Below are 13478 nucleotides of genomic sequence, written 5' to 3'. Positions count from 1 at the left end.
AGGCCAGCATGCAGGCACAGGATGCAGAGCCTTGGGTCCCAAGGGCGGGAAGTGACCATTCCCTCAAGGCCAGAATGGATGGAACTGCCACAGGGGTGGCGGGTAGGGGCCTATGGTCTCTCCAGTACTGCCCAGGGCAAAAGCACTCCTAGGATCTGCAGGCCCTGGGCAAATACATTTCGTGGGCTCCTGTCAACATGAACAATTTCATTTTATAATGTATTACAAAAAGTCATGAGTCCACAGGAGTGATACAGATTGATTGAAGAGGTCCTTTTGTATTTGTTTATTGTCCAGTCAATGAACATGAAGATTCCTCAGAATGTACAGGACCCATCTTTTCCTGTTGAGTCCAGGAACCATCTCTTCACATTTGTTATTTAATTAATTAATTAATTTATTTATTTATTTTTTTGAGATGGAGTCTCGCTCTGTTGCCCAGGCTGGAGTGCAATGGCGTGATCTCAGCTCACTGCAACCTCCGCCTCCCGGGTTCAAGAGATTCTCGTGCCTCAGCCTCCCAAGTAGCTGGGATTATAGACGCACATCACCACGCCCAGCTAATTTTTGTATTTTTAGTGGAAATGGGGTTTCACCATGTTGGCCAGGCTGGTCTCGAACTCCCGACCTCAGGTGATCCGCCGCCTTGGCCTCCCAAAGTGCTGGGATTACAGGCGTGAGCCACCACGCCCGGCCCCGTCTCTTCACATTTGTTATGATCAAATTTGTCATTCCTGACTAACTTCATAAATCTCAGGTAGCAAGACAGTAATTATCCACAATGTCATTGCTTTAGAAAACCTGTTTATATTGAAACAATATAGACCTTTTTGCCTCTGCAATTCCTTAACACCATGTATTTAAGGCTGGTTGCATCATAATTCCACACTGCATCATCCGCAGTGCAGCCCCTGAGGACTGGCTTCCAGTGGCTCTCTCAAAGGTGGTGATGGTGATTCCTCGATAATGATTACCAAGGCAAGTCTCACCCAGAGTATGCAAAAAAAAAAAAAAAGAGCAATTCTTTGTGTTCTGATTATATTAAATGTATCATTTAGAATTGTAGAGCATAAACATAAAACAGCACATCACCCAAACATGACTGCTCTAGAACTCTTCAGGCCATAATTGCCGAATCCCTAGAATGTGATCTTTCTCCCCGCTGACCCCCTACAGCTCCACACACCACCAGCAGGAAGGATCGGCCAGGGGGCCCATGGACAGAGAGAACAGTCTCCTTGGTTCTCACATAACTGTCAAGGCAAGCAGGACATCCATGGGAAGGCCCCTTGGTGTTGTGAGCCAGTGCTGAGGGCCCTCGGAGGAGATAGGTGGGCCACCCTCAGAGGACTGCCTGACGTGGTGTGGAGACCACAGAAGGGCTGGGCTGGCCGCCCTAGTGCCATTGACAAAGTGAGGAGGGCTCACGGGTACACTCGAGTACTGTCGACCTGAGGCAGCACTGTGGCTGGAGTGCAGTGGGAGGGCTGATGCCTAGGCACACTCACAATCAAGCCAAGAGTTGGTAGTGGACCATCTGCAGCCCAGAACCTTGAACTCATCCTGTGTCTGACAAATTAAGGTGGACCAAACTCACATGATCCCACAAAAGAAATACTGTGCGTGCCAACGGGAGCAATTCAATCACCAGGCTTCCCTCCTGGAATAGGCATACGTGCTGGAGCTCCTCAGGGCATCAGATTGACCTCACACCCTGAGTAGGGGGCAGAGAACACCACAAAGGAGAGAAACAGGGCCTGGGCAGACTCATGTCTGCCAGGAGGGCAGCTCTGGCTGGCCTCTGTCATCAGAGAAATGTTTGAGGAACAGGCTTCTAGAAACCATGACCCACACAGACCGTCCAGGCACTGGGCACCCAGCCCAGCTAGCACTGTCGGCCCAGCCCAGACATCCAAGAAGGGTTTAGAACATTGCAAGGAAGGCACTCCAAAGTACTGGGCCCTCTGAGGCCCAGCCCTGGGCACGGACCTGCTCTCCCACATCTGAGTGTGGTATCAGCCCACAGAGACAGGTAACTCCCAGCCATCCTCTCAGCCCTGAGCTTTGGAGGCCCCTGGTTATTCTAGCGCAGATATGTATGATATTCAGGGCCCTCCACAAGCCGCCCCGGGCCTGCCTGTCCAGTTTTATCCTCCCACTCCATATTCCTCCTCCAGCCCCACTGAATCCACACTCTCCTCAGGGCCCTGGGTCCTTCCGTCCACTTGCAGTGTCTGCGTGTAGGGGTCCTCCAAGGCTCAGCTCAAGACCCACTTCCTCTATGAGATCTGCCCTAATTCCCCTAGCTGGGAGCATGTCTCCCTCCGTGATCTCCAGGGGCCCCACTGCTCCTCACATCGCTCCGCGTCATCGGAGTTTTCTGCATACTTCAAGTCTCTCTGACTAAATGATAATGCAGGCCAGGCGCGGTGGCTCATGCCTGTAATCCCAGCACTTTGGGAGGCCAAGGCGGGCGGATCACGAGGTCAGGAGATCGAGACCATCCTGATTAACACGGTGAAACCCCGTCTCTACTAAAAATACAAAAAATTTGCCGGGTGTGGTGAGCGCCTGTAGTCCCAGCTAATCGGGAGGCTGAGGCAGGAGAATGGCTTGAACCCGGGAGGCGGAGCTTGCAGTGAGCCGAGATCGCGCCACTGCACTCCATCCAGCCTGGGCAACAGAGCGAGACTCCGCCTCAAAAAAAAAGAATGCAAAGTCTGTCCAGAGCAGAGCCTTGATTAGAGCAAAGGGTGGATAGGGGGAGCCCAGGGAAGGAGCAGAAAGGCCCAGAGTAGGAGACAGGAGGCAGGGGGCCCAGAGCAAAAGGCAGATCCTGACATCTTCAGGGCAAGAGAAACTAAGGAATCAGTGGCACTGTATCACGGCCGCCCACGCAAAAATATGCAAAGTGACGCTTAAGAAATCCCTCCAGGAGGCCTGTCTGGCTCAGAACAGTCCTCTTTCTCTCTCTGTGATCCCTCCCGACCTACACTTCCACACCTCCACAAAGGTGGGCCCCTGGCAGCCATCATATTCCTGTGTGATTCCATTCTCTAAGCAAATTCCTTCTCTGGGAATTTGGGACTCAAACACAACCAGCAAGTCTCTGAGCATGGGTGGGACTGGGTATCTAGAAACTGCCAGGCAGTGGACACACCCTTCTGGACTTGGAAAAGCAGCAAAGACCTGCATTCAAAAACAAGGGACTGGCCAGGCATGGTGGCTCACACCTGTAATCCCAGCACTTTGGGAGGCTGAGGCAGGTGGATCACTTGAGGTCAGGAGTTCGAGAACAGCCTTGCCAACATGTTGAAACACCATCGCTACTAAAAATACAAAAATTAGCCAGGCGTGATGGTGCACGCCTGTAATCCCAGCTACTCAAGAGGCTGAGACAAGAGAATCGCTTGAACCGGGAAGCAGAGGTTGTGGTCAACTGAGATTGCGCCACTGCACTCCAGCCTGGGCGACAGAGTGAGAGTTCATCTCAAACAAACAAACAAATAAAAAGAAGGGACTGTAGCAGATGAGCCAAGATAAATGGTATTGTTCAGGCCTTATTCAGAAACAAGTGGTAGAAACCCAGATCCAATCAGCTTGAGCAAAAAAGAATGACTTGAGCTTACCAGCTGCTAAGTAGGTGTGGTATTGCCTTGTTCCTCTCTCCACTTCCTTACCCTACTTGGATTTAGTTATTGCCCCATTGTAATTATAAAAGCCTTCAGAAGGGCCAGACTCTATCACCAGCTAGGGAAATGAGAACTCCTTCCATGCTGTCCATGGGCCTATCCCAAGGAAGACTCGGACGCTCGGAGCACGCTTCAGCCCTGAGTTAATAAGTGGGCCAAAGAACACCCCGATGTCTGTGAGAATCTGCAGGTTGGGGGGGGTGGAAACTCTGTGATTGACAGTCCCCAGGGCCACGTGGACTGGGAGAGGAATCCCCAAAGCGGGACAGAGTGGGGAAAACATGAGGAGCGGTCAACAAATCCATTGTCCTCAGTCCTGTTCAGAGACAGCTTCCTGACTCCTGGTTCCAGCCTCAGAAGGCCAAGCGCCCCACGTTCTTCAAACCCCCTCCATCATCTGAGTACATTTTCCTTTTTGGTTAATCTTATTAGGGATGATTTCTGTTATTTGTGACCAAAAGAGCATGATAACCCCAATCATGCATATCTATAACAGCAGAGGAAGAGTCTAGGTAGTTATACCAAAATCAACAGTAGTTATTCCTGGGTATTAAGATTTTAGATTTTCATTTTCTTCTTTGTACTTTTTAAAAATTTTTATTTATTTTTTAATTTTATTTTATTCATTTATTTATTTTTTGAGAGAAGTCTCGCTCTTGTCCCCCAGGCTGGAGTGCAACGGCACAATCTTAGCTCACTTCAACCTCTGCCTCCCGGGTTCAAGTGATTCGCCTGCCTCAGCCTCCCAAGTAGCTGGGATTACAGGCGCCTGCCACCAGGCCCAGCTAATTTTTGTATTTTCAGTCGAGACGGCATTTCACCATGTTGGCCAGGCTGGTCTCGAACTCCTGACCTCAGGTGATCTGCCCGCCTCAGCCTCCCAAAGTGCTGGGATTACAGGCGTGAGCCACCGTGCCCTGCCTCTTCTATGCTTTTAAAGTTTTTCCCGGCCTGGTGCTGTGGCTTAACGCCTGTAATCCCACCACTCTGGGAGGCCGAGGAGGGCGGATCACCTCAGGTCGGAGTTCAAGACCAGCCTGACCAACATGGAGAAACCCCGTCTCTACTAAAAATACAAAATTAGCCGGGCGTGGTGGGGCATGCCTGTAATCCCAGCTACTCGGGAGGCTGAAGCAGGAGAATTGCTTGAACCCGGGAGGCAGAGATTGTGGTGAGCCGATATTGTGCCATTGCACTCCAGCCTCGGCAACAAGAGCAAAACTCCGTCTCAAAAAAAAAAAAAAAAATTCCCAGATTACGTTTATTTTACTTTGATTATGCAAGTACTAAGTATTTGGTATAGCAAAAACTATAAGAAAAACAACAGCAGTTTTCAGCAAGAATCCTGGCACTCGGAGACCATGATGACTGACATTTTGACTTCTTACCTTACCACCCCCCCACCCCCCGCACCCCACTCACACAGTGGCCAGTGGAGTTAAGCGACACCACCCTGTAGACACCCTTGTGCCAACTAAGTTGTCACAAAATGCTTGGAGACATTAAGAGATGTGTTTTGTGCCCGACGGAAAACAGCTTGAACCCTAATCACATTGAGGTTCACTCAGGCACAGGCAGCGATAATGCTCCAGTGGGTGTGGGTGGGGGTGGGGGATAGAGGCCCAGTGGAGGCCTGTAACATGTGCGGTGACTGTACCCCAAGAAAGAAATCACCACGCATGAGGAAGTGGGCCAGACTCAGCACCTCGGAGTGACAGTCAGGGACAGCAGAACAATCAGGGTGCTCTGGGAGGCTGCTCCTGAATCCTCCAAACTCACCTCCCTCCTGGAAGGCAAAGATCTGAGCTTAAGGGGCAGGAGGTGGGGGGAGCAATTATCTCATGAGGAATCCACTCAGCCACATTCCCTTGGAATACTACTTAACTTCTGTGTACCTTGTTTTCCTCATCTGCAACATAGGGATGGGATGGCAATGCTAACAACCTCCTACGATCAATCCTCCTACGCTCCTACTGAGGACCACGTGTATGTTACGCTCTCATCACAGTGCTGTCAGTTCGGGATACTCAGCACATGGTCATGATGGTGATGATGAAGGAGGAGGAGGCGTGCCTCACTGTAAAAGGCTGCAGAGTAAAACCCAGTGGGAGGCGGGGGAGGACCACCATTAGGAGCTCAAGCAATTCTGCTATGAAACACACACACCCACTTCCCCCTTAAAAAGCTAAACGGAACTAGGAAGACCGTGGGTCCCAGAAGTCTGGGGAGAGTTCTAGGTAGTGGTGAAAGAGTGAGCATTGCCCCACAACCCAAGGACCAAGGATGAGGGTGGGCCGTCATCCCCACATGAGCAGCAGGCACCGAGGGCCAGAGTGACAGATGCTTGTCAGAGGTGCAGGAGGTGGCCAGAGACTGGTAGTCAGAGATGACCAGCAAACAGCAGGGACAGAGGTGCAGGCAGGGATTGGGAGACAGCGGCCGATGGAGCAAAGGATGGTGAAACTAGCAACTGAGAAGAAGGACCTCCGTTGATCCAGGGCATTGCTCTAATTTAAACGAACCCCCATCACTATTTCCACTCTCATCCCTGACTGCAGGGCACCTGCAGAAGCACAGCAAGGGGAAAGGCTTTGGCCTTACCTTCTGGCAGTTGACAGCAATTGCCCCAGCACACTGCAGAGACAGATAAGCAGCTTACCCAGAACCCACAAGTGTGTGGGGCTTAGGAGGCTTCCGCAGGAGATTCCTGAGGCTGCTGGTACCACCACAGAACAATCTTTCTTCTCATGGACACAAATAATAGATTATGATCACGGCTTTTTTTCCTTTTTTTTTTTTTTTCTTTTTTAGACGGAGTCTTGCTCTGTCGCCAAGGCTGGTGTGCAGTGGCATGAACTCGGCTAACTGCAACCTCCACCTCCCAGGTTCAAGCAATTCTCCTGCCTCAGCCTCCCGAGTAGCTAGGACTACAGGGATGTGCCAGCACATCTCACTAATTTTTTTTTTATTTTTAGTACAGATGGGGTTTCACCATGTTGGCCAGATGGTCTCAAACTCCTGACCTCAAGTGATCCACCCACCTTGGCCTCCCAAAGTGCTGGGATTACAGGCATGAGCCACCGCGCCCGGCAGACCATGGCTTTTAAGCAAGGTATAGCAAAGTCACTGCACCCTCCCTGGCTGGTTGCTCTGAGGGAAAGTTCTGCACCAAGGAAGGGCCAGTCACAGCCCTGCCCAGGCCTCTAAGGCCTGCCTGCATCCTATCCTCCACCTGCATCACAGTCTCCGGGGAGCTTTTTAAAACTGTCGCTGCCCAGACCCCATTCCTGGAGATTCTGGTTTAGGAACAGAGCATCATTCTCTTGTAAAAGCTCCCAGGCCAGAACCACTCCTCTACATCCTCTGTACCTTGCAGATCTCACGAAAATCTACAGTGAAGCAGCTACAACTTGCTAGAGAGCGCTGTGGACTAGACGAGGCCCCATGAATCCTTCCTCAAGGGGACCTGGATCCTGGGCACTGAGTCTGCGGACCCTTGGACAGCTGACCTCTCCCTTAAAGCTGAAATGACCCGTCAAATCCATGTTCCACAAGTCCCTTCCTTTGAATCCCAGCTCAGCCACTTACTAACAGTGTTTTTTTGCACATCTTATCTAATCTCTCTAAGCCTCAGTCTCCTCTTCTATAAAGTGGGAGTGATAGTACCTACCCCAGAGCATTATGAATGAAATTAAGAATGCAAACTGGGGCAGGAGAATCACTTGAACCCGGGAGGCAGATGTTGCGGTAAGCTGAGATCATCCCACTGCACAATCACAGGCTCATGCCTGTAATCTCAGCACTTTGGGAGCCTGAGGCAGGAGGATCACTTGAACCAGGGAGGTCAAGACTGCAGTGAGCCATGATCACACCACTGCACTCCAGCCTAGGTGACAAAACAAGACCCTGTCTCTAAAAGTAAATAAATAAACAAATAATAAACATAAATTAAGAATTCATGTCACAGAATAAAGAGGTTTTACCCCACATACCCAGGTGGGTCATTCTCAGAGTAAATTTATGTTTATGTTTAAGAAGTACATTTTGTCAGGCATGGTTTCTCACACCTGTAATTTCAACACTTTGGAAGGCCAAGGCAGGAGGATCACTTGAGTCTAAGAGTTCAAGACCAGCCTGGGCAACATAGTGAGACCCCCCCCCCATCTTTACAAAAAATTAAAAAAATAGCCAGGCATGGCGGCATACACCTGTGCACCTGTAGTCCCAGCTACTTGGGAGGCTGAGGTGGAAGGATCACTTGAGCCCAGTAGGTCGAAGCTGCGGTGAGCTGTGGTGGTGCCACTACAGTCCAGCCTGGAAGACAGAGTGAGACCCTGGCTCCAAAAAAAAAGAAGTACATTTTGGTAGCTCCTGATAGGATCCAGTGAAAAACACAGAGCACTTCTATAGGCTATTCCTGTCACACACTTGAACCAGAATCCAATGAAGACTGTATTTAACTTTCAGTTTACAGGAAACATGGGGGATGAGGGAACAAATTAAATGACACTGTGAGTAGGGAACAAATATATCTAAGCGGTAGATCATTCTCTAGAGACAAATTAGCCAGTGTCTCCAACAAATCAATGGCATGAAATAAAGAGGGGGAGAAACTATAACAGAATGAAAGGATTTGAGAACCATCGTGAGAACAAAAGATGCAGTTTGACAGCCAAAGGCACTTAAAGAAAAATTCCAAAATTAAACACAGAATTACCATATGATCCAGCAATTCCACTTCTAAATATCTATCCAAAGAATGGAAAGCAGGGACTCGAATAGATACTTGTACACTAGTGTTCAAAGCAGCATTATTCACAATAGCCAAAAGGTGGAAACAACCCAAATGTTCCTCGACAGATGAATCGAGAAACAAAACGTGGACTATACCGTCAGCCCTCTCCGTACCCACGATTTCCCACCCAGGGATGCAAGCAACCACAGATCAAAAATATTTGAAGACAGCCAGGCGCGGTGGCCCACACCTGTAATCCCAGCACCTTGGGAGGCCACAGCGGGCAGATGACTTGAAGTCAGGAGTACAAGACCAGCCTGGCCAACATAGTGAAACCCTGTCTCTACTAAAACTATAAAAATTATCCAGGCATGGTGGCACATGCCTGTAATCCCAGCTACTCAGGAGGCTGGGACGGGAGAATAGCTTGAACCTGGGAGGCAGAGGCTGCAGTGAGCTGAGATTGTGCCGTTGCACTCTAGCCTTGGCGACAGAGTGAGACTCCATCTCAAAAAAAAAAATAAATAAATAAAAATAAGTATATGTATTGAAGACAAAATAAAATGAAAAAGTAACAATATAACAATAAATAAATAATGATACAGCATAATAATTTACATAGTTTTACAATGTATTAGGTACTATAAGTAGAGAGGATTTAAAGTATATGGAGGATAGGTGTAGGTTATATGCAAATACTGTGCCATTTTATATCAGAGACTTGAACATCCTTGGATTTTGACATCTTCGGGGATCCTGGAACCAATCCCTCATGGATACTAAGGAATGACTGTACATATAATGGAATATTATTTAGCCTTAAAAAGGAATGAGATTCTGATGCATATTACTACATGAATGAACCTCGAAAATATTATGCTAAGCGAAATAAACTCAACACAAATGACAAATATTGTATGATTCTACTTATATAAGATGTCTAGGATAGAGAATAAGCAAATGTGTAGAGACAGAAAGTAGAATCAAGGTTATAGAGGTTACCAGGGGCTGGAGGAGGTAGGGTGAGAAGTTATTATTTAATGGGTACAGAGTTTCTGTTTGGATCTCGGCTCACTGCAACCTCCGCCTCCCGGGTTCAAGCAATTCTCTGCCTCAGCCTCCCAAGTAGCTGGGATTACAGGCACCCACCACCACACCCAGCTAATTTTTGTATTTTTAGTAGAGACGGAGTTTCACCATCTTGGCCATGCTAGTCTTGAACTCCTGACCTCATGATCCACCCACCTCGGCCTCCCAAAGTGCTGGGATAACAGGCGTGAGCCACCACACCCAGCCTTAAAATGTAAATTTTATGTTATATATATTTTACCAAGAAAGAGAAATTTCACTTAATTCATATCTTGAAAAATATTAAAGAAGACCTATAAACACAGCCCAGAATGTTAGAATCTCTTTGCTCTCATTCCACTCCCCCTCACCCACACATGCCTCTGAAGACTTCTCCTCCACACCTACCCACCCCCTCCAGCCCTACAGCCCTCACCGCTGTACCCCACCTCTCTTCTCTCACTCTTAATCAGGTAGATTGACAGCCTCATTCCCAGCAAGAATGTTTCCTCTCTCGGGTGGGAAAGGAGGGAAGAGGCTGGCTCCAGAAGATTCCCTTTGACAGGCTGCCAAAGGTAGAAAGGCTGTGGTCATGCCCACAGTAATAGTTATTGTCGCATCACATAATAGAAGCCGGAGCACTGAGTCCCCTCCACCTTTTCATGGGCATGGGGAGCATTTCACCCCTCCCTAATGGTTCTCACACCCATTGTCAGATTCAATTACAGTGACGGCATTCAGTGCCAACTATACGCCAAGCATGTACATACGTTTTCTATGGTCCTTGTGACAATCATGCAGGTAACCATCATTAAGACCATGTTGCAGCAAACTGAGGCTCAGGCATGGCAAATGCCTTGCCAAAGTCACACAGCTAACAAGTGTCATTCTCGGTTCATACCACTCTACTAAACTGCTGCCAGTTCAAGGCTGGCCGTATTTCCGGGAAGTCGTCACAAAACTGAGGTGATGGTGGTCAAGAACCAAGTCACTAGCAAAGCACACTTCCCTGCCTCCCTTCTTCTCACAATGTCTACAGAGCCCACATCTACTCAGCTGAGTCTTCTTGGCAACCAAAATGAATACACACATTGCAAACTGTTAAGGTAACCACAGCTATATGGAGAGAGGGCGTCCAGCCTTGTAGCAACTTTGGACTGATCCTCAGGAGCGACCCCTCCTCCCTGGGAGTCACATCTCAGACTCCTTCTGGCTGTTGCCACCTCTTGGAAAATGAACAGGGAGCTGGAGCTGGAGCTGGGAGCTGCTCCCAACTGCAGTTCATTTGGGGTGTCCAAACTCACTTCTCACCAAGGCGCAGTTGTGAAGTATCTGCTTTGCCATCAGCTGGATGGGGCTCAGGCTGTGGAGTTTTAGTGTCACCCCAGCCTCTGGGTCTTCATCCAGATGTGCAAAGAGAACAGCCACCTGGCATCGTTTCTCTTTTCTTTTTTCTTTTTCTTTCTTTCTTTTTTTTTTTTTTTTTGAGAAGGAGTCTTGCCCTGTCACCCCAGAGTGCAGTGGTGCAATCTCAGCTTACTGCAACCTCCACCTCCCGGTTTCAAGCTATTCTCCTGCCTCAACCTCCCAAGTAGCTGGGATTACAGGCACCTGCCACCACGCCCCACTAATTTTTGTATTTTCAGTAGAGACAGGGTCTCGCCATGTTGGCCAGGCTGGTCTCGAACTCCTGACCTCAAGTGATCCACCCACCTCAGCCTCCCAAAGTGCTGGGATTATAGGATTGAGCCACTATGCCTGGCCTAGCATCGTTTCTCTTAAAATTCTGACAATCTATGGCAAAACTTATATGTGCGGTAATAGAGCCAAGCAAGGAAAAGAGATATAAAACTATAAACACAAGGCAAACTCAACAAAACACACAGAAAGAAGAAAAACTCCAAAAAAAACTCTGTATTCTCCACAAAGAATTTTTCCTAGTTTGTTTTGTTGTTTGATTTTTTAACCAAAATTTTTTACTTCAAGGAAACATTTTTATAATTAAAAAGCATGATTCACTAAAACTACCATCTGAAATTTTGAAATAAATCATGGCATCATAATGTTCAGGATAAAAAAGACTAGGGAAAACATCAAACGTAAATGAGGCTCATTCTGAATTGCAGTTCTAATTTTATTAAGTAAATAAATTTTCTTCAGTTTATACTTTTCTATTTTCTGAAACTTTTCCAGTGGAGAATTGTTACATCTATAATCAGTCAACAATAAAGTGCTATAATTTTTTATTTTAGCCAAGTCAGGAAGTCTCCTCACTCACCTATTTCTGGAGGAGGGGAGGGGAAAAAAAAAACCTTCTTTTGAAGGTCTTCCCTGGTGCCATTTCCAGTGGTACCTCGGCTGGAACCTATGAGAAAAAAAAAGTTCCTTCATAATGATGTCAGCCTTGCTTTAAAAAAAAAAAGTCTCTAAAACTCATGAAAAACACAGTTGATGTGAATCATATGTCTGAGTGGCAGAGTTCCCACTAAGCTGGGTGAGCACACAGATGCGCAGGACAGAAATTCCTCCCCACACAGTGACTATTCCTCTGCGGAGCTGTTGAAGGTAAACAACCCAACCGCTGTAAATGTTCCTGCTGGCTGTGAAGTCCCCATGCCCCTACCTCCTTACCCTTCCGTTATCCATCCCTTTCTCTAACCCTCCCTCTTATCAAAAACCAATGCCCGCCCCCACCCACCCCCCGCCGTGCCCCAGCACGGTGGCTCATGACTGTAATCCTAGCACTTTGGGAGGCCAAGGCGGGTGGATTGCCTGAGCTCAGGAGTTTGAGACCAGCCTGGGCAAGATGGTGAAACTTCATCTCTACTAAAATAGAGAACATTTGCCAGGCATGGTGGCAGGTAATGTAGTCCCAGCTACTCGGGAGGCTGAGGCAGAATTGCTTGAACCCCAGAGGCAGAGGTTGCAGTGAGCCAAGATCACGCCACTGCACTCCAGCCTGGGTGACGGAGTGAGACTCTGTCTCCAAAAAAAAAAAAAAAAAAAGCAATGGGGGCCAGGCACGGTGGCTCACGCCTATGATCCCAGCACTTTGGGAGGCTAAGGCAGGCTGATTACCTGAGGTCAGGAGTTCGAGACCAGCCTGGCCAACATGGCAAAACCCCGTCTCTACTTAAAAAATACAAAAATTAGCTGGGTGTGGTGGCACACGCCTGTAATCCCAGCCACTCGGGAGGCAGAGGCAGGAGAATTGCTTGAACCCGGGAGGCCGAGGTAGCAGTGAGCCAAGATCGTGCCACCGCACTCCAGCCTAGGTGACAGAGCCAGACTCTGTCTCAAAAAAAAGAAAAAAAGCAATGGGATCTGACAATAATCATTCACATTTGTTGACTGATAGATTATACTTAAACAGGTGACCTAATATCTTAACCAGTCATTAGCATTTTAAAATTCTCATCTTCCAGTTTGAGATGAAAAAACTTCTACTGAAGGAATTTCAGGCATCAGCCAGCAGGTGCAGGAATGTTTTTGCCAAAGGGATGGGTGGTGGGTTCCTGAAAGTATTGTAAATCTGGTTTAGATGTCCTCGGACCTGGGTGGGGGGGGGTGTCAGAAGGAAGAGCGCTGGGCCTCTCCCCAGGTGAGCCCCTACTCCTTTGGAAGGAAAAACAGGCTGGGCTGGTTCCAGCTGCTGGAGCTACTGGGGGAGAATGAGGCATCTTTTGTCCTCCAGTATCTGGAGCCTCCTCTTTCAAGACGGTCCACTGGGTATCTCCCCTCACCACCACCTTTCCTTTGTTCTCCTTTTCCTTTTTTGAGACGGAGTCTTGCTCTGTTGCCCAGGCTGGAATGCAGTGGTGTGATCTCGGCTCACTGCAACCTCTGCCTCCCAGGTTCAAGTGATTCTTCTGCCTCAGCCTTCCTAGTAGCTGGGACTACAGGTGCGTGCCACCATGCCCGGCTAATTTTTGTATTTTTAGTACAGACAGGGTTTCACCATATTGGCCAGGTTGGTCTTGAAC

At 48.3% G+C, this 13478-nt stretch overlaps 1 long non-coding RNA gene across 2 annotated transcripts in view; it reads right to left on the bottom strand.

The window, feature by feature from the left end:
• LINC02054 (long intergenic non-protein coding RNA 2054) overlaps positions 1–10093 on the bottom strand; it is a 38112-nt gene extending 28019 nt beyond the window's left edge. For both annotated transcript variants that reach the window (NR_161199.1, NR_161198.1), the window contains exon 1: positions 9945–10093. This is a non-coding gene — a long non-coding RNA (long intergenic non-protein coding RNA 2054). The remainder of the gene's footprint in view (positions 1–9944) is intronic.
• Between the last annotated feature and the right edge of the window lie 3385 nt (positions 10094–13478).

This window comes from Homo sapiens, chromosome 3, assembly GCF_000001405.40.
Source record: "Homo sapiens chromosome 3, GRCh38.p14 Primary Assembly".
Lineage (NCBI taxonomy): Eukaryota > Metazoa > Chordata > Mammalia > Primates > Hominidae > Homo > Homo sapiens.
The sequence above is the reverse complement of the archived record's forward strand: the minus strand, read 5'-3'. Positions and strand labels throughout refer to the sequence as shown.